Source organism: Homo sapiens, chromosome 2, assembly GCF_000001405.40.
Source record: "Homo sapiens chromosome 2, GRCh38.p14 Primary Assembly".
Lineage (NCBI taxonomy): Eukaryota > Metazoa > Chordata > Mammalia > Primates > Hominidae > Homo > Homo sapiens.
Window position 1 is genome coordinate 197,648,068 of NC_000002.12, and position 22,033 is coordinate 197,670,100.

The following is a 22,033-nucleotide window of genomic DNA, read 5'->3' on the forward strand; positions in this document are numbered from 1 at the left end:
GGCTGTTGACCTCTGTCAGTGTGGTGAGTGGTGTCTGGCAAAGAACTGCGGCTGATTGCCTGAGCACAGGAAGGAGGTTAAGAAGCAGATGAGGAGGAAGGGCCAGAGGAAATCCCCTCCTCCCCTTACATCAGTATCCACATGATGAGACAAATCCACCATCAGTGGGTATTCACGCCAACTTCAAAAACTAAAATAAGCGCTCAACAGAAAAGTTATATAAACCAGGAAGGGTCCACTTCCTCCAATTTTCACCCTCTTTTGGATTTAAATTAATATTTTATTTACAATATATCTTCTTCATCATTATGAATAGGAATGAAAACAAAGAGAATGATCTTGGACTTTGAAGAAACAGCTGGGCTTCCTTGTAAACAGCCCAGCTCTGCTTGTTGGTGTGGCAATTCTGTGATTCATTTGGTTTTGCTCTTTAGTATTTTGACTACCAACTCTGATTTCTAAACAAAGGAACTGAAAAACTATAACAAAATGGAAGCAACTCTTAACACTAAGGAATGAAACATAACCTAAACTTATTTTTAGAACTATATACTAATCTTAAAAAAATTTAAAGAAAATTGTTTACTGCAGGAAGTGGAAATGTCTTAGTGTAATACAAAAGAATCTTCATAGTCTGGCCTCTGCCTCTTGATTCAGCCTCCACGCGTGTTAGTCTTTCTCTTACGTGTCTTGCTTTGGGATGCTGGAAGGACTTGGTGTTTCTGAACCTGCCACTCTGTTTCATGCCACCAGGCCTTCATTTCCTTCCCTGTTCTCCCAGCCTGAGTTAATTATTCCTTCCTCTGGGCTGCATGTCCTTCTATTAGTGTGCTTATCAGATTGTATTATAGTTATTTGTTTATATGTCTTGGCTGTTAGACTGAGAATTCCTTAAGGGAAAGGAACCTACTGTATTCATGTCTTTCTATGTCTAGCATGTTCCTTAGGTCACTATGTTAAATTGGAAATACTGCTCATAAGGGGAATTAAGAAATGAAGTTATTGCATAAAAAAGGCAAGCAATCAAGATTAGCTAGTGGAAATAAAAAAAGTTAGGTTAGCAATTTCAGGAACAATTGTTCACACTATCTAGGCCTTGGAGAAGAGAGACAAAACAGAGAAAAACATAGGCAGTGACGTGGAATTTGTAAAAATTCTTTTGATCATGGAAGTGGGGATGGTTAAGAACATACTGAGAATCCAAATAAATAGAGGTAAAGGTCATATTTACTTCAGGAGTCTCTAGCATAAGGCTTCACCACATGTTCCTCATTTTAATGATATTACAATGAGAAAAAGCCATGTTGCAAATGAAGAAAAAATACTTAGAGGTGGAGCTAATGGGATTTAATTAGCTCCATCTTTGAATGAAATCCAGAAAGAAATCTGGGAGAAGATTGTACCACAAATAATGATTTAATGAAGGGGAAGAATGTGGCTTTTATTCAGAAAAGTTCACATGAGCTTGTGGGCTTGGGAGTACTTCTGGATACTGCTGGCCTTGCTGCTCTTGCTGACTTGGTTGGAGTCACTGTCAGGGCACATGTTGCCTCATGTTGCCTACCTCGTCTACCTTAGCACCACTGATTGGAAGGAAACCCCAGAAATCAAGAACTCAGGGTTGAGAAAAGTCCACCCTCCCAGAGCTTTGGGTTAGACTTCAGGGAAATTTAGGCAGCTCAACACTCTGTTCTTTGCAATCTTACTGTCATCCCAGATAGTGAAGAACGGCAGAAGCCCACACAAAAAAGGCACCTACGAAGTTCAAAGAGGCACTTAAGTTGCTACTACATATAGATTATTTGAAAGTATTTCAATGGTTCTGTATTTTTACCAGATACTCAGCAGTTAGTAATTAATTTTATTTTAGCTCCATAATACCCCCTTCACTACCCAATTAAATGTCATTTGGAGTTGGATTGTAGTAATGGCTGCACAACAATATGAATGTACTTAATGTCACTGAACTGTACACTTACTAATAGCTAAAATGGTAAATTTCATGTCATGTATGTTTTACTACAATAAAAAGATATATAATATATATTAAAATGTATAAAAATTGTAGGAAAAACAAAAATTTGCCATTTTAACCATTTTTTAGTGTACAGTTCAGTAGTGTTAAGTATACACGCATTATTGTGAAACAAATCTCCAGAACTTTTTCAGCTTGAAAAAATAAAACCCTATACCCATTAAACAACTCCCCATTACTTCCTGTCAGACCCTGGTAACCATCATTCCACTTTCTTTTGCTATGAATTTGACTACATTAGATACCTCATATAAGAGGAATCATATTGACACAAAATCATATGGACACAAAAGTCCATAGATTGTGGTTGATAACTTTAAAAATATGAATAGAGGTGAGCACTTCATTTTTGTGAAAGTGTGTCCTTTGAAAATTGTAAAATTCAATCTAAGAATAAGGGATGTGCCTTGGCTTGGGAATCTTCCTCGTATCTTTACAACACTGTAGGCCTTTTTGTGACTGGCTTATTTCACTTAGTGTAATGTCCTCAAGGTTCATCCACGCTGTAGCATGTTACAAGATTTCCTTCCTTTTTAAGATTGAATAATATTCCATTGAATATATATACCACATTTTGTTTATCCATCTGTCTATGAACATGTGGGTTGTTTCCACCTCTTGACTATTGTGAATAATGTTGCTATTAATATGGGTGTGTAAATATATCTTTGAGATCCTGCTTTTGATTATTTTAAATACATGCCCAGAAGTGGGATTGCTGGATCATATGGTAATTCTATTTATAAGTTTTTGAGGAAACTCCATATTGTTTTCTATGATGGCTGAACTATTTTACATTCCCACCAACAGTACACAAGTGTTCTAATTGTCTGCATCCTCACTAACACTTGTTTCTTTGATAGTAGCTATTCTAACAGGTATAAGGTGATAACTTATTGTGGTTTTGATTTGTATTCCCCTAATTATTAGTGATATTGAGAATCTTTTCACATCTTATTGGCCATTTGGAGAACTGTCTGTTCAAACCCTTTGCTCATTTAAAAATTGGGTTGTTTCTTTGTTGTTGAGTTGTAGGAGTTATTTATATATTCTGGATATTAACCCTTTATCAGGTATATGATTTGAAATTATTTTCTCCCATTCCACATATTGACTTTTCACTCTGTTGACTGTCCTTTGATGCACCAAAGCTTTTAAGTTTGATATAGTCCCATTTATCTATTTTTACTTTTTTTGCCTGTGCTTTGGTGTCATATCCAAGAAATCATTGTCAGGCCAGGCGCAGTGGCTCACGCCCGTAATCCCAGCAATTTCAATGGCCAGAGCGGGTGGATCACCTGAGATCAGGAGTTTGAGACCAGCCTGGCCAACATGGTGAAACTCTTTCTCTACTAAAAATACAAAAATTAGCCAGGCATGGTGGCAGATGCCTGTAATCCCAGCTACTTGGGAGGCTGAGGCAGGAGAATCGCTTGAACCCGGAAGGCGGAGGTTGAAGTGAGCTATCGTGTCACTGCATTCCAGCCTGGGTGATAAGAGTGAAACTCCATCTCAAAAAAACAAAAACAAAAACAACAAAAAAAAAGAAAAATCATTGCCAAGTACAGTGTCATGAAGCTTTTCTTCTGTTTTCTTCTAGGAGTTTTATAGGTTTATTTCTTATGTTTAAGTCAACAATTTTTAAAAAGTACAATGGCATCTATTTTTTGGTTAAAAAGGCATATACTTTCTTCCTCAAAAATGATGCAAGAAAAATAAAGAACTTTGATACTTTCCTGGCAGTTTTACTTGATTATCCAGCAACGTAGGTTGCAAAATGAAAACCTAAAAAGCAATGATGGTGTAAGGAATTTTAAGGCTTATTTAAAAAATAATATTTACATGACTAAAGTGAAACACAAAAGTCCATAGATTGTGGTTGATTACAAATATAAGTAGAGGTGAGCATTTCATTTTTGTGAAGGTGTGTCTTTATAAATTATAAAATTGAACCCAATAATAGGTCTTGGAAATCCTCTTGGTATCTTTCAATACTGTAGGCCGGGTGGTAATTATGATGTGCTTGTCAATACCTGTGCAAAGTTGATTGTTTTTCCATGTGGCATGGCTGGACAACCCAGAGTGCTTGAAGTTTCAGTCAACAAACTGTTCAAGGATCACTTAAGAAAAGAATATGAGTCCTGGTGGCTGCTTGAAAACTTTCCATTGGTAGCCTCTGGCAATATGAGGAAAGCCCCAGTCTCAAACTTAGCAGAATGGGTGTCAGCTACTTGAAAGAAAACCCTAGCACTTGCTTAAGAAATGCAGCATTACCAATACTCTTGACCGCTCATAGGAAGATTACGTGGAAAAATGGGGAAATGAGGGCTCTAAGTTCTAAAAGTGATTCAGAAGAGTCAGGTCTTAAGTGTGAGGAACTTTTAGAAATATCTTCATTTCACTTAATTTCCTTTTCTTATGTATGTAAGAGAGATATATAATGAAATACTTATGTTTAAAATGTCTAAAAGAGCTTTTGCCATGGGTAAAAACTAAAATTACTGAAAGAAAATAGTTATAGTTTAATTGGTGCATTTTTCTTTCTTAATGGTACATAAAATAATAGTGTGTTTTATAATCAATGGTGTCTTAGAGTTAATTATATAGCAAAGAAGGGATGGTGTATATATTAGCTAAGAGAATGAAGATTTGAAGAGCTCTTTGTTTGGTGGTACAAAGGTCTCCCAAACAAAAAAATCTAACAGGGATAAAGTCTAAGTTCAAAACACAGAGTGACAGAATTCTGATTTAATATATTTTCACTGAAGGGGGCAGGGGAAATCCTGTGGTCTGTAGCTGACTGCAAACTAATTATAAGCCAAGAGTTAATCTAATGTGATCGTTGGCTATCTGGAAAAAAATTACCTCCAAAGGCAGGAGGCTCACTAAGTTCTTTATTGAGCAGACCATCTCATTAGTATATTCCTTGCTTTAGCATTAATAACTATCCAAATAATAATAACCAGAATATACTATTTACCTAATTATATTATTAATATCTGCCTCCCCCACAAGGGCAGGATGAAAGCTCTGTGAGGGCAGGGATATTCATGCTTTGTTCAGTGCCGTATCTCTATACTTAGAGTATTGCCTAGCAGACAGATGTTCAATTAATATCTGTTGAATGGATAAGTAAACTGTTTTCAATTTAGGGGTGAAATTAGAGACATTCAGTAACAAGCTGGAGTACATTCAAAAGAAAGTGCTCAGGATAATGAGGGGTCTGGAGACCTGACGGGTGTCTTTCAACTGTGCAAAATAATATGTGAGGAACAGGGCACCATCTGGATATATCTGAAGGGCTGTCACACAGAAGAGGCTGGCAGGTAGAACACTGACTAAGCAATGGAAGACTCAGTTACCCATGGGAATACTCCCCCAAACTGCATGTGGCAGGGCAGAGTGAGACTCTGACATGCTCATTAAAAAATATCTATCTGGTTAGTTAAAAAAAAAAAAAGGCTAAAACAATAGAGGTGAAAGAGATTTTTGTTCAACTTTACTAGAAAGCAGACTGCCAGCAACTTCAAAAATCTATTGGGTTGGTGCAAAAATAATTATGGTGTTTGCCATTGCTTTCAATGGCAAAGCAATTACTTTTGCAATAACAGAACAGTAGAAATAACCTCAATTTACCAAAAAAAAGTTCTGAAAAAGTCCATCCACTTTTTCCATAAGAAAGGCATGGAGCCACCTCCCCTTAACAACTCTCTCAACCAACTGCTCATTGAACTGGGGTGGTGTTTCCCAAACTTTAGTTGTCTAAGTACACTTTCACAATTTTGGTCATATCCTTAAAATTTTCTTCTAATTTTAATTTTTAAGCAAAATAAATTTATTTCAAAAAGAATTTATATCACTCATATAACATAAAACCAGGATCATTTATCTTAAGTAGAAAGCTGTCATACAAATAAATACAATGAAAAGAAAACTTATTACATTCTAGCTAGATAATGTTATTTGCCAAAGACTGAGCCACAGGCCTGGCCAAGGAAAATTAGGCTGGGCATGGTGGCTCATGTCTGCAATTCCATCACTTTGGGAGGCTGAGGTGGGCGGATCACTTGAGGCCAGGAGTTTGAGACGAACCTGGGCTATAATGAGACACTGTCTCTACAGAAAATTTAAATATTAGCTGAGCGTGATTGCACATGCCTGTAAGTCCCAGCTACTTGGGGGCTGAGGTGGGAGGATCGCTTAAGCCCAGGAGTTTGAGGCTGCAACTTCTTGAGTAAGCCATGATAGCACCACTGCACTCCAGCCTGGACAATAAAGTGAGCCTCTGTCTTAAAACAAACAAAAAAATCAAAAACAAAAAAGGAGAAAAATTAGCCATTAGAGGGGTGTTAAAGACATATTAACTCCAAACTGATGGGAAGGCTTAAATAAGATGGAAAAGGGCATACTCTTCTGTTTAAGTGATCCAATGTTTAATTCTGTGTCTGTATATACAGCCGAAGAGCATCTCATGTCCAGTGCCTTTTGGTGGAAGCTTGGAGACCCACTGGGTTAGAAGTAGCAAGGACACAATGATAATAGCAAAAGAGACAGATGACACCAGAGGGAATAAAATGAATTACAAAACTGGATAAAATAACTATACAAATATAGGCTGGGCATGGTGGCTCATGCCTGTAATCCCAGCACTTTGGGAGGCCGCGGTGGGAGGATCACTTGAGGTCAGGAGTTAGAGACCAGCCTGGCCAGCATGGTGAAACGTCAACTCTACTAAAAATATAAAATTAGCCTGGAGTGGTGGTGCATGCCTGTAATCCCACTTACTCTGGAGGCTGAGATATGAGAATTGCTTGAACTCAGGAGACGGAGGTTGCAGTGAGCCAAGATGGGGCAACTGCACTCCAGCCTGGCCACAGAGCAAGACTCTGTCTCAAAAAACAAACAAACAAACAAGCAAACCAACAAAAAAACAAAAAACTATACAAACATTAGTCTGGGGCCACTTAAAGGGCTTTACATATGTCATTAGTTTAAACCAATAACAATAATGAAGTCATCCCCCTTTCATTCTGTTGTTTCAGAACAGTTTTTAAAAGCAGAATTATACAACATGTTAAAATAATCACAAAGAAGATAGCTATAATAGAATAAAATTGATGCTTAAAGAGGTTCCTGTTTAGGTGCAGAATGTGTTCCCAAGAAATACCTCGTTTCTGGTGATGTCAGAAAAATTTTGCATCATTGGAATAAGTTCTGCTTTTCTGGTCTAATCCACATCTTCTTGCACTCTCAATAAAGTAAGGATATTGTCTTAAGTCTTACCATAGTAGAAATGTTAATGCAAGAAACACACACACACACATAAAAGTTTCAGGAGGAATTACAAACTGAGAAATCCAGAAAAGTTAGAAAGGGAGAACAAATGTTGTACATCAGTGCTAATAAACATATTTGAACATAAGCTTATGTAAAGATCATGGGGCCAGGCTTGGTGGCTCACGCCTGTAATCCCAGCACTTTGGGAGGCCGAGGCAGGCAGATCACGAGGTCAAGAGATCGAGACCATCCTGGCCAACATGGTGAAACCCTGTCTCTACTAAAAATACAAAAATTAGCCAGGCATGGTGGTGTGTGCCTGTAGTCCCAGCTACTCAGAAGGCTGAGGCAGGAGAATCGCTTGAACCTAGGAGGTGGAGGTTGAAGTGAGCCGATACCACACCACTGCACTCCAGCCTGGGAACAGAGTGAGACTCCGTCTCAAAAAAAAACAAAACAACTCATATTTGTTTTGGGCCCACTGCTTTACATTAATATTCAACTGTTTCAAATGTGCATGTTCTCCTATCTGGAGGTCAATGTCTTTTGATAAAACTGTAGCACCCAGCACAGAGATGACATTACGGTAAGTACCTAAAAATACTTATTAAAAGACCCACTGAAAGAAAACTTGGGCGTACTATTAATATATTTCACAAACAGAGCTCCAGGGTACTCATGGAGCAGTGGTTTAGGCCATAGACTCCAGCACCAGACTTCCGGGATCCAAATCCTAGCTCTGCCACACCTAGTAAGGTATTTCCCTTCTGTGTGCCGTAGTTTCCTCATCTGCAAAATGGGAATAATCAGAATCCTCCTTATATGGTTGTTAGGAGGATTAATAAATTAATCTTGGTTCCTAGAGAGTGTCTGGCACACAGTAAGTGCTCTACAACCATTGGTTGCTTTGTAATGAGGTCCTCTTATGTAGAAAGAGAGGCAGTACACTATTCTCTTTAAGAGCATTAGGCTCTGGAAGCAATTCACCTGGGTTTGAATCCTGATTATGCCATTTACTAAGCATGTGATCTAGAACAAGTTACCTTTCCTTTCTGAAACAAGAATAAAGAATAATATTAACTTCATAGAGTTATTGTGAAAATAACTGTAAAACATGAGCCCAGGGCCTGGTGCAAGTAAACACGCAAATAGACATCGGTGATTTGCCCATTTGTTGATGGTCCAGCTCTGAGAAGATAGTTTCAAATGAAGTTGCCCTTAAAGATAAGTCATTGTTGGTTTAAAAAATCTCTGGGAAGATCATGGTAGGGATTTGAATATATTCCAAAAATATGGCCTCGTTCCCAAACTACAGAACTCTGGATTAGAGGTCTCTAACTCACTTTCTAGAGCAGAAATCTTGAACTCATGCTCTAGATCTTGGGTCTCTAACTGAGACTTAGATCAAGAGTCCCTAGATCTAAGATCAGTGGTCTCTAGCTCAAACTGATCTACTACATAGAGTCCTTGACTCAAATGCCTCACAGGTACTAGGCTGATAAAACAAAGAAAGGAGCTACACAGGAGGAGGCTGCAGGACCTGGAGAACACTCAAAGCCTCATCCAAAGAGTGCACCATCCCTGGGCCCAGTGCTGCCATGTGGAATTGTGGGCCCAGGTCACTGGACCTTCTCAGTTAAAAAAATAAAAAAAAAAATTTTTTTTGGTAGAGATGGGGTCTTGCTATTTGGCCAGGCTTGTACTGAACTCCTGGCCTAAAGTGATCTTCCTGCCTCGGCCTCCCAAAGGGCTGGGGTTACAGGCATGAGCTACTATTCCTGGCCAAGCATCTTCTAATTTTTAAGAAAACCCCTAAATCCAATTCTTATATAATATTTCCCAGTTTAAAAAAAGTGACAATTAATTAAAATATTTAATACTGTCCATCCCAAAGGAGACCTGTCTGAAGGCTAAATACAGCCTGAGTCTCATTAGTTTGTAACTTCTGCCCTGGGTCACCCCAGGGATTCTGTAGACCAGAGCTTGCCTAGACCATTTGAGACAGTGTTCAGCCTTCTAGGATACAGAAAAAGTGATCTAGTTTTCCTAGACTTGGCCTCAAACACTGAACCTATTGTGGAAACATAATTATTCACTCTGGTGAGCGCTGATGAAAATTCCTCACTCTATAGGCACAGCTCTCCCCTTCTTCACATCTCTAAACTGAAGCAGGTTTGAATACCTAGCAAGTTCCTAACAGCCCTCCAATCTCATTTACACATGGTTTTAAACATTATGTTATTTAAACATTTTTCTAATTTTCCTCATTTGTAGGGATGGGAGAGTGATGGTAATGGGGGACTGAGGTTCACTCTATAAGAAAGTTGTCCTCATTATTGGGACCTGATGTAAACAAAAGGAGTGTAAACATTGGGAGTTGTAATGTAAACACTGGGAGTTACTGTAAACATGCCATCATCATTCAAGGAAGGTAAACCCAGGAGCAAGAAGAGGAGCAATAAATGTGGGAATTTTGTTGAGAACTTTCTTTCATGTAATTCCCCTGGTTCTTAATAATGTTTAAAACCATGCAGAAATGAGATTGGAGGGCTGTTAGGAACTTGCTAGGTATTCAAACCTTCTTCAGTTTAGAGATGTGAAGAAGGGGAGAGCTGTGCCTATAGAGTCAGGAATTTTCATCAGAGCTCACCAGAGTGAATAATTATGTTTCCACGATAGGCTCAGTGTTTGAGGCCAAGTCTTTGATTTGATGTTCTTATGCTGGGGCAGTAATATCAGAGCCTCTATTATGTTTTTTTCCCCCTCATGCTACCTTGTCTAAGACTATTTTTAAAAAATATTTTTTTTTTTTTTAGAAAAAAAAAATGAGTATCCTTTAAGGACTTGGATTTGACTTCCTTCCAATGCCTGGTCTTCATAAACCTTACTTATGAGGGATGTGTGACCCCTAAGCATGCACATAGTCTGCTGCCCAGGTTGGACTGCAATGGCGCCATCTTGACTCACCGCAGTCTCGACCTCCTGGGCTCAGGTGATCCTCCCACCTCAGCCTCCTGAGTAGCTGGGACCACAGGCGCATGCCATGACACCATGCTAATATTTTGTATTATTGTTTTTTTTTTTTTTGGCAGAGGTGGGGTTTCTCCATGTTGCCCAGGCTGGTCTTGAACTCCTGGACTCAGGCTATCCTCGTTCCTAGACTTTCCAAAGTTCTGGGATTACAGGCATGAACCTCTGTGCCTGGCCCCTATTACTTTTTAAACAGAGGAAATTAAGGGAGAGGTAATGGTAGTTTGGCTAGAATTTGAACAGCACAGGTGGTTAGCAGTAGCTGCAATCCTTCTTCTCTTCTTAGCTCCCCAACCACCAGCAGTTCTTTCTCAGTTCTTTAGGGGAAGAAACAAATGGGGTTGTTTACAGCTTTAATGAGTGTGGTTGGTTACTGTTAAATTGATGCTACATTATTTGTAAGAGCTTTATATATCTTGCAAGGCTATCATGAGGAACTCATGAAAGAAAGCATTTTGCAATTACTTTGAAAACTGTGCAAAGTGAATGTTATTATTAAAATTAAAACATGCTGAATGTTAAGTAACATTTTTCATTTATTCTTATAGTTTCTAAAATAAACATCAAAGACTTTATGCTCTTTTGCTTAAAAGCTTCATAGACAAAGATCAAATTTTTAAAAATAGAAAAAGTCATATACTATGACTTTAATATAAAGTCATATATTAAAGCTAAGACTTTGTTCAATGCTAAAAGTTTTGCTCTGATGATGTAACTCTATGAAAATAGTCCAAGACATACATATGTTCTTTCCACCAATTTACCTCTGATGACTGGTGTGTATTTTTGAAATACTTATGAAATATTAGGGCCAGGCATGATGGCTCACACCTGTAATCCCAACACTTTGGGAGGCTGAGGCAGGTGGATCAGGTGGTCAGGAGATCGAGACCATCCTGGTCAACATGGTGAAACCCCGTCTCTACTAAAAATACAAAAATTAGCCCGGCATGGTGGTACACTCCTGTAGGCCCAGCTACTTGGGAGGCACCAGGAGGCAAAGGTTGCAGTGAGCCGAGACCGTGCTGCTGCACTCCAGCCTGGCAACAGAGCAAGACTCCATCTCATAAAAAAAAAAAAAAAAAAAAAAGAAATATTATTTCCTCAGATAAAAATACAATGTACAGGCTGGGTGTGGTGGCTCATGCCTGTAATCCCAGCACTTTGAGAGGCTGAGGCGGGTGGATTACTGCAGGTCAGGAGATCAAGACTATCCTGGCCAACATGGTAAAACCCTGTTTTTGCTAAACATACAAAATAAACCTGGCGTGGTGGCGTGTGCCTGTAATCCCAGCTACTTTGGAGGCTGAGGCAGGAGAATTGCTTGAACCAGGGAGGCAGAGGCTGCAGTGAGCTGAGATCATGCCATTGCACTCCAGCCTGGGCAAAAAGAGCAAAAACTCTGTCTCAAAAAAAAAAATGCTATGTATAAACACTAGCAAGTCCACATTTTCAAAAGGGAATAGACTGTCAATCTCCATATTTTATCTAGCAATTATAGTAAAAAATAAGTAACATAACAAGTGCATATTTTGTGCGAGCCAATATGTGAAGTGTTTTATGTGCCAATTCTTAATTACTCATTACAAAAATCATATAAGGTAAGTATTATCATTATTTTCAGATGAGGAAACTCAGGAAGAAAGAAAGGGACTAGGTAACTGGCCCAAACTGCTAGTAAGTGGTGAGGCTGTGATTGAACCCAGACAGAGTGAGTCCAGAGCCAGTGTGCTCTAGTGCCTGCAGAGAAGGAAAACTTCATTGATCTGGATCATATTAATTCAGAATTTGTGAAAATAAAATTCCGACATGAGCTGGGTTAAAGCTTTTAAACCATAATAAATTGTTAAGCAATTTAATGTATGGATATTAGAAGGAGTATCTAATTTATGTTACTTATCAAAATGTTTTCAATAACTTAGAAATATAAACTACTATATAAATAACATCAAATTATTATTGTTTATGTTTTTCCATGAAAGCTTCCATCCTTGTAGTCACTCATTTATGTATTAATTGAAGTAATATAACTGCAGTTTTAAAAATTAATTCATAGTATTTTACATATTTATGAAGTATATGTGATATTTTGTTACAATCATAGAATGTGTAATAATGAAGTCAGGGTATCTGAGGTATTCATTACTTTGAGTATTTATCATTTCTTTTTTCTTTTTCTTTTTTTTTTTGAGGCAGTCTTACTGTGTCACCCAGGCAACAAGATGCAGTGGTGCCTCCCAGGTTCAAGTGATTCTCGTGTCTCAGCCACCCGAGTAGCTGGGATTACAGGTGTGCGCCACCACCACGCCTGGCTAATTTTTGTATTTTTAGTAGAGACAGGGTTTCTCCATGTTGACCAGGCTGGTCTTGAACTCCTGGCCTGAAGTGATCTGCCTGCCTTGGCCTCCCAAAATGCTGGGATTACAGGTGTGAGCCACTGCGCCCGGCCAAGTATTTATTATTTCTATGTGTTAGGAACAATTTCAAGTCCTCTCTTACTGCTATTTTAAAATATACAGTATATTGTTGTTAATTAGAGTCACTTTATTCCACTGTTGAACAATATTACATATTTTTTTATCTAACTGTATGTTTGTACCTGATAATCTACATTTCTTTATCCCCTGCTCACACCCACTCATCCTTCCCAGCCTTTGGTCACCATCATTTAACTCTCTACCTGTATGAGATCAACTTTTTAAGCTCCCATATATGAGTGAGAACATGCCATATTTGTATTTCTGTGCCTGGATTATTTCACTTAACATAATGTCCTCCAGCTCCATCCATGTTGCTGCAAATGACGTGATTTAATTTAATTTAATTTTTTTTTTTTTTGAGACAAGACTCCAGCTCTGTTGCCGAGGCTGGAGTGCAGTGGCACAATCAAGGCTCACAGCAACCTCCGCCTTCTAGGCTCAAGTGATCCTTCCACCTCAGCTTCCAGAGTAGTCGGAACTACAGGTGCATGCTACCATGTTTTGGTAGTTTTTAAATATATATATACATATATATTTTTGTAGAGATGAGGTCTCACAATGGTGCCCAGGCTGGGATTTCATTCTTTTTTATGGCTGAATAGTATTCCACCATGTACATATGTATCATCTTCTTTATCCATTCTTCTGTTGGTGTACACTTAGGTTGACTCCATACCTTTGCTTTTGTGAATAGCGCTATGATAAACAGGTGAGTGCAAGTATCCCTTTGATATACTGATTTCTTTTCCTTTGGATAGATACCTAGTAGTGGAATTGCTGGATCATTTAGTAGTTCTATTTTTAGTTTTTTGAGAAATCTCTACACTCTTTTCCATAGTGGTTTTACTAATTTACATTCCCACCAACGGTGTATAAGAGTTCCCTTTTCTCTACATCCTCATCTCCACAGGATCTCTTTTTGTCTTTGTAGTAACAGCCATTCTAACTGGGGTGAGATAACATCTCAGTGTGGTTTTTCATTTGCATTTCCCTGGTGATTAGTGATATTCAGCATTCTTTCATATACCTGTTGGCCATTTGTATGTCTTCTCTTGAGAATTGTCTATTCATGTAATTTGCCCACTTTTTAACGTGATTTTTAAAAATTGTTGACGTGTTTGAGTTCCTTGTGTATATTCTGGATGTTAGTCCCTTGTTGGATGAATAATTTGCAAATATTTTCTCTTATTCTGTAAGTTTTCTTTCTGTTGATTGCTTCCTTTGCTGTGAAGCTTTTCAGTTTAGTATAATCCTATTTGTCTATTTTTATTTTAGGTGCCTGTGCTTTTGAGGTCTTAGCCATAAAATCTTTCCTAGGCCAATGTCCTGAAGTGTTTTTCTTACATTTTTATCTAGTAGTTTTATAGTTTTGGGTCTTATGTTTAAGTCTTTAGTCCAGTTTGAGTTGATTTTTGTAATGGTGACAGATAGATAGTGGTCTGGTTTCATTCTTCTGCATATGGATATCCATTTATTGAAGAGGGTGTCCTTTCCCCAGTGTATGCTCTTGACACTTTTTTTGAAAATCAGTTGACAGTAAATATGCAAATTTATTTCTGGGTTCTGTATTCTGTTCCATTGGTCTATACCAATACCATGCTGTTTGGCTACTATAACCTTCTAATATATTTGAAAGTCAGGTAGTGTGATGCTTCCAGCTTTGTTCTTTTTTTCCTAAAATTTTTTGGCTATTCTGACTCTTTTGTGGTTCCATAAAAATTTTGGTATTTTTTTTTTCTATTTCTGTGAAAATGACACTGGTATTTTGATAGGGATTGAATGGAATCTGTAGATTGCCTTGGGCAGTATTTTAACAGTATTAATTCTTCCAATCCATGAGCATGAGATGTCTTTTCTTTTGTTTGGTGTCCTCTTCCATTTCGTTCTTTAAAAATTTTTTTATAAAAATTTAAAATTTTTCTAGAGATGGGTTCTCACTATGTTGCCCAGGCTGGTCTCAAACTCCTTGAGTCAAGTGATCCTCCCATGGCCTCCCAAACTGCTGGGATTACAGATATGAGCCACTGCACCTGGCCCCCTTCCATTTATTTCCTCAGTGTTTTGTAGTTTTCTTGTAGTTGTGGGTTTGTCATATATGGCCTTGATTATTTTGTAGTATGTTCCTTCTATGCCGAGTTTGTTGAGAGTTTTTGTCAAGAAGGGATGTTGAATTTTATTAAATGTTTTTTTCTGCATCTATTGAGATAATCATATGTTTTTTGTCCTTCATTCTGTTGATGTGATGTGTCATGTTTATAGATTTGCATAAATTAAACCATGTTTGCATCACTGGTATAAATTCCATTTGATGATGGTGTATTATCTTTTTGATGTGCTATTGAGTTTGGTTTGCTAGTATTTTGTTGAGCATTTTTGCATCTATATTCATCAGGGATATTGGCCTGTAGTTTTCTTTTTTTGTTGTGTTGGCCTTACAGAATGAATTAGGGAGAATTCTCTCTTCTTCAAGTTTTTGAAATGGCTTGAGGAGGATTGGTATTAGATCATCTTTGTATGTTTGGTAGAATGTGGTAGTGAATCTGTCCAGTTCTGTGGTAATGAATCTGTCCAGTTTCTTTGTTGGGAGACTTTTCATTACTGATTTAATCTTGCTATTCATTACTGATCTGTTAAGATTTTCTGTTTCTTCCTGATGCAATTTTGGTAGGTTGTATGTGTGCAGGAATTTATCTATTTCCTCTAGGTTTTACGGTTTGTTAGTGTATAGTTGTTCATAGTAGTCTGTAATGATCTTTTGTATTTCTGTGGTTATCAGTTGTAATGTCTCCTTTTTCATTTCCGATTTGGGTCTTTTCTTGGTTAGTCTAGCTAGCAGTTTATTAATTTTGTTTATCTTTTTGAAGAAGCTGCTTTTTTTATTGATCCTTTGTATTGTTTTTGTCTGTATTTTGTTTAGTTCTACTCTTTATTATTTTTTCCTTTTACTAATTTTGGGTTTGGTTTGTTTTGCTTTTCTAGTTCTTTCAGGTACATTATTAGACTGTTTATTTGAAATCTTTCTACTTTTTGATGTAGGCATTTATTGCTATATACTACTTAGTATCACTTTTGTTGTATCCCACAGTTTTTGATATGTTATATTTTCATCTTCATTAATATCAAGACATTTTTAAATTTCCTTCTTAATTTCTTCATTAACCCAATAGTCATTCAGGAGTATGCTGTTTAATTTTTATTTATTTGTATAGTTTACAAAGTTCTTCTTGGTATTGATTTCTAGTTTTATTCCATTGTGGTCTGAGAAGACATTTGATATGATTCCATTTTTAAAAAAAATTGTGGCTGGGTATGGTGGCTCATGACTGTAATACCACCACTTTGGGAGGCTGAGGTGGGCAGATTGCTTGAGGTCAGGAGTTCAAGACCAGCCTGGGCAACATGGCAAAACCCAGTCTCTACAAAAAAAAATTCAAAAATCAGCCAGATGTGGTGGTGTGTGCCTGTAGTCCCAGTTACTCAGGAGGCTCAGGTGGGAGGATTGTTTGAGCCCAGGAAGTTGATGCTGCAGTGATTCATGATTGTGCCACTGTACTCCGGCCTGGAAGACAAAGGGAGACCCCATCTCAAAAAAAAAAAAAAGTTGGCTAGGTGCAGTGGCTTATGCCTGTACTCTCAGCAATTTAGAGGCTGAGGCAGGATTGCTTGTCCCAGGAGTTTGAGACCAGCCTGGGCAACAGAGTGAGACCCCTAGTTCTACAAAATTACAAAAATTACAAAAAAAAAATTTAGCTGGGTGTGGTGGTACATGGTTGTGGTCCCGGCTACTTGGGAGGCTGAGGTGGGAGGATCACTTGAGCCTGGGAGGTCAAGGTTGCAGTGATCCATGATTGTGCCACTGCACTCCAGACTGGGCAACAGAGCGAGAACTTATCTCAAAAAAAAATTTTGTTGAGACTCATTTTCTGGCCTAACATATGATTTATTCTAGAGAATGTTCCATGTGCTAATAAGAATGTGTACTCTGAAGTTGTTGGATAAATGTTCTGTAAATGTCTGTTAGGTTCATGTGGTCTAACGTCCGGTTTAAATCCAGTCTTTCATTGGGTACTCATGGACACAAAGATGGCAACAATAGACACTGGGACTACTAGAGAGAGGGAGTGGGGCAAAGATTGAAAAATTAACTGTTGGGCACTATGCGCACTACCTGGGTGACTGGATCAGTTGAACCCCAAACCTCAGCATCACGCAATATCCCGTGTAACAAACCTGCACATGTACCTCCTGAATCTAAAATAAAAATTGACATTATTTTAAAAAGTTACTAATCAGGGAAATGGTGGTGGGGGGAGCAGTGAAGAGATATGAGGGAACCTTCTATACTTTCTGTTCAATTTTTATGTAAAACTAAAACTGCTCAAAATTAAAATCTATTGGTTTATAATAAATAAATCCAATGTTTCTTTGTTATTTACTGTCTGGATGATCTGTCTAATGCTGAAAGTGGGTTGAAGTATTCTACTAATCTCACATTGAAGTCTATCTCTCTCTTTAGATCTAGCAATATTTGCTTTATGAATCTGGGTGCTCCAGTGTTGGGCGCATATATGTTTAGAATTGTTATATCCTCTTGCTGGATTGATTCCTTTATCATTATGTACCTTGCCTTTTTTTTTTTTTTTTACTGTTTTCGACTTACTGTTTTGACTGTTTTAGCTGATATAGGTATAGCTATACCTGTTCACTTCTGGTTTCCATTTACATGGAATATCATTTTCTACCCCTTTACTTTCAGTCTGTATGTGTCTGTATAGGTAAAGTGCATTTCTTATAGGCAGCATGTAATTGGATCATATTTTTAAGTCCATTCAGCCAGTATATATGTTTTAAGTGGAGAATTTAATCTACTTACATTCAAGGTTATTACTGATATGTGAGTTTTTGTTCCTATCATATTGTTAATTGTTTTCTGTATGTTCTTTGTTCCTTTGTTTTGCTCTTCCTGTTTATCATTGTAGCTTGGTGGTTTTCTGTAGTGGTGCTATTTGAGTCCTTTCTCTTCCTCATTTATGTGTTTACTTTGCCAATGTGTTTTATACTTTTGTGTATTTTCATGATGGTAAATGTTGTCCTTTCATTTTCCAGGTTTAGAACTCCCTTGAACATTTCTCATAGGGCTGGACTAGTGGTTGTGAATCCCTCAGCTGTTGCTTGTCTGGGAAAGACTTTGTTTCTTCTTCTTTTTTTTTTTTGAGATGGAGTCTCACTTTGTCACCCAGGCTGGAGTGCAGTGGTGTGATCTTGGCTCACTGCAACCTCTGCCTCCCAGCTTCAAGCGTTTCTCTTGCCTCAGCCTCCTGAGTAGTGGGGACTACAGGTGTTTGCCACCATGCCTAGCTAATTTTTGTATTTTTAGTAGAAACAGGGCTTCACCATGTTGGCCAGGCTGGTCTTGAACTCCTGACCTTAAGTGCCTTGGCCTCCCAAAGTGTTGGGATTACAGGCATGGACCACTGTGCCCAGCCCTATTTCTCCATTTATGAGGCTAATTTTGCTGGATGTAGTATCCTTGGCTGGCAGTATTTTTCTTTGAGCACTTTGAACATGTCATTCCATTCTCTCCTGGCCTGTAAAGTTTCTGCTGAGAAATCTGCTGTTATTCTGATGGAGGTTCTTTTATAGGTGACTAGATACTTTTCTCTTGCTGTTTTTAGAATTCTCTCTTTGTATTTAACATTAGACAGTTTGAGTATAATGTGCTCTGGAGAAGATCTTTTTGCATTGTATGTGTTTGGGGATCTCAGAGTCTCCCATACCTGAATGTCTAAATCTTGGGAAGTTTTCACCTATTATTTCATTAAATAGGTCTTCTAACCCTTTCATTCTTGTTTTGCCTTCTGAGATTCCAATAATTCGAGTATTTGGTAACTTCATGGTGTTCCATATGTCATGAAAACTTTGTTCATCCTTTTAAATTCTTTTTTTTCTTTACTTTTGTCTGACTGGGTTATTTCAGAAGACTTGTCTTCAAGTTCTGAGTTTCTTTCTACTGCTTGATCTAGTCTATTGTTGAAGCTCTTGAATGTATTTTGTATTTAATTCAATGAATTCTTCAGTTCCAAAATTTCTGTTTGGTTCATTTTTATTTTTATTTTTTGAGACAAGTTCTCACTTGTCCAGGCTAACAGGCTGGAGTGCAGTGGCACTCGGCTCACTGCTTCCTGGGTTCAAGTGACTCTCCTTTCTCAGCCTCCTGAGTAGCTGGGATTACAGGCATGTGCCACCATGTCCAGCTAATTTTATTCTATTTTTTCCAGCAGAGACGAGGTTTCACCATGTTGGCCAGGCTGGTCTCAAACTCCTGACCTCAAGTGATCTGCCTGCCTCACCCTCCCAAAGTGTTGGGATTACAGACATGAGCCATGGCACCTGGCTGGGTTTATTTTTATATCTATCTCTCTGGTAAATTTGTCATTCATATCCTGAATTGTTTTTCTGATTTATTTGTATTATTTTTCAGAATTCTCTTGTATTTCACTGAGCTTCCTTAGAGTTAATAATTTGAATTCTCTTTCTGGAATTTCATGAATTTCTTTTTGTTTGTGATCTGTTGCCTGAGGATTATTGCAGTTGGAGGTGTCACATTTCCTTGTACTTTCATGTGTCCTGCATTCATATGTTGATATCTATGCATCTGGTGTAACAGCCACTTCTTCCAATTTTTTGAACTGCTTTTGTGGAAAAGGTTTTTCCTGAGGATGTATCTATGGTGTCGGTTGGGTAGGATGCTTTGGTTTTGATTCTGGGTGCATGGAATAGTGTAGTCTCTGTATGACTTATTTGGCTGTAAACAACATCAGTTGTAGCTGTGATTTCCATAGAGGCTTACAGTATGGTTATTAGTGGATGCTGTGGTGAGGTTTTCTTGGGAACTGGGATGCCAGGTAGGCCAGTCTTTGGGCCCCAGTGGTGGCAGCAGTGGGTTGAGCATGCCTGTCTTTGGGACCCAGTGAGGCACATGTTGGCACTGGTGTTAGCAGGTCCAGGTGGGCCAATTCTTGGACTTCTAGGTAACTTAGTTTTGCCAGTAGTGGTAGCAGTGGGCTGGGTGGGTAGGAGGGTCCTTGGCCCCCTGGGGAGCCAGTGTGGCATGGGTGATTTCAGTGATAGTGATGGGACAACCTTTGGGTTGCAAGCAGTGCACCCTGGTGTTGGCAGTGTCTGTGGTGGGCTGTGTAGGCCAGTCTCTAGGCCTGCAGGTGGGTGCATGCAGATAGGTGCCAGCTATGGTGGTAGCAGCCAGGTGGGTAGGTCTCTGGAAGGAGTGTTCAGGTAGCAATGGTGGTGAACTTAGCTGAACCATCCCCTGACCTCTGGGCTGTGTGCTCTGGCATGTTGAGGGGAGTGAAGCTAGGCTAGAGGGGCTGTCCTCAGTCCTCTGATAGCATGAGCAGGCACCAGTCATGGTAGGCAGGAGTGGGATGTTCCCCAGGCCAGCAGTGGAATGTTCAGATTGGGGGCAGCAGTGGCCATGCTGCTGTCCTGCCACTGGGGAGGGAGGTGCTGCCTTTAGTGGTAGCAGCCTAGACAGGTGGGGAACATATGTGATGCTTGTGCCTCGGCCTCTGCTGTGATAGCCTATGCCTTGGTAGCACTTCAGCCCTGGGCGTGGTAGCCTGTGGTCATTGATGCCTCAGCCCAGAGGCATGTACCTGCACCTGGCAGTAGCCTGCACCTGGGTTGTACCTCAGGCCTGGCTGCAGTAGCCTGCATGCAGTCGCTTGTGCCTCAGTCATAGGGCAACAGTCTGCATTTCTCTTGTGGCTCAGCCCTAGCATCACTAGATCTAGGACAGTACTTGGTCTATTAGGGATGGGGCTCTAAAATGGTGCCTTGCTGTAGCTGCCTAAGTCTCGGGAAGTGTTTGGGACCCAGTATGCCCTTCCTCCCTGGGACAGTCCTGTGGCACAATCTCTTGGCAGCTCCCTCTGTTAGTTTCAGGGCCCTCAAGGATTGAGGAACTCTCCCATGGTTAGAATTGCAGGGGTCCACAGTGGGAAGGTGAAGTACTGAGGGTCTCTCACTTAACCTTTCCCCATACTGGGGAGTCTCTCTCAGGCCTCAGCTGATCCCAACTGAACAGGCTGCCTCACTTCCTTCTCCTTCCTTGTTTTAGATATTTCTTGTCACTTTTCTGTGGAATTCCAGTGTGCTCTCTTGGATGATCTACTCAATGTGTGATTATCTACTCACTGTTTTGGTTCTTCCTAACTGCAGTTTTAAAATACAATAAAATTCTATTGAACTATGTATTTCATGGTTATAGGCAGATATATGAAGGACCAAATTATGACCAAACTCCTGAAGTCTTATGTTTCACTGCTATCTTCTTAATATGCTACATTCCTACCATTCTGTTTTATTTTCAGTTTCCAGACAGACCACAGAGTTTTCTCTCTTCTGAGTATTTGTATATCTTGTCTTTCAGCCATGTTTGCCTTATCCCTACTCACTTCCTATTCAGCCTTTTTTTTTTTCAAATTTTTTTGGGGTTGGGGTGAGTGGAAATGTAACATATAAAAGAAAAAGACACAAAACATGCTTAAAACTACTAACACTAGGACAGCGGTCCCCAACTTTTTGGCACCAGGGACTGGTTTCATTGAAGGCGGTTTTTCTACAGATGTGGGTGGGGAGTGGACGGTTTGAGATGAAACTGTTCCACTTCAGATCATCAGGCATTAGTTAGATTCTCATAAGAAGTTTGCAACCTAGATCCCTTGCACGCGCAGTTCACAATACATGCTCCTATGAGAACCTATGAGAATCCAATGCCGTTGCTAATTAGGCAGTAATGCTCACTGGCCTGCTGCTCACCTCTGGCTGTGTGGCCCTGTTCGTGACAGGCCACAGACCAGTACCAGTCTGCAGCCTGGGGGCTGGGGACCCCTGCACTAGGGTAACCACTATCCATTCAAAAATTAGAAAATAGCCAGCACTTCAGAAGCCTTTACCCTTTCCCATCACAATGCTCCTGTCCCCTCCGTAATACCCTGATTTTTATGATAATGACTTTTTTTTGCCTTTCTTCTTAGTTTACTTCCCAGAATGCAGCCCTAAACACTATACTTCCGTTTGAGCATATAAAGGGAAGCATATAGCATGGACTTGTGTGTCTGTCTTCACTCAATATTATGCTTGTGGAATTCATCTTGTGTAATTGTAGTTCCTCTGTTTCCACTGCAGTGTG

At 39.2% G+C, this 22,033-nt stretch overlaps 1 protein-coding gene across 6 annotated transcripts in view, besides 2 other annotated features; it reads right to left on the reverse strand.

Moving 5' to 3' along the window:
- RFTN2 (raftlin family member 2) overlaps nucleotides 1–22,033 on the reverse strand; it is a 107,364-nt gene that overhangs the window by 79,844 nt on the left and 5,487 nt on the right. The window lies entirely within an intron of this gene.
- Nucleotides 19,679–20,268: an enhancer, noted in NCBI's record as "H3K27ac-H3K4me1 hESC enhancer chr2:198532470-198533059 (GRCh37/hg19 assembly coordinates)". NCBI's record gives its function as "activates a minimal SCP1, AML or CMV promoter by ChIP-STARR-seq in naive H9 embryonic stem cells {active_cell/tissue: H9 hESC(naive)}" and the evidence as "EXISTENCE:reporter gene assay evidence [ECO:0000049][PMID:30033119]".
- Nucleotides 20,269–20,857: an enhancer, noted in NCBI's record as "H3K27ac-H3K4me1 hESC enhancer chr2:198533060-198533648 (GRCh37/hg19 assembly coordinates)". NCBI's record gives its function as "activates a minimal SCP1, AML or CMV promoter by ChIP-STARR-seq in naive H9 embryonic stem cells {active_cell/tissue: H9 hESC(naive)}" and the evidence as "EXISTENCE:reporter gene assay evidence [ECO:0000049][PMID:30033119]".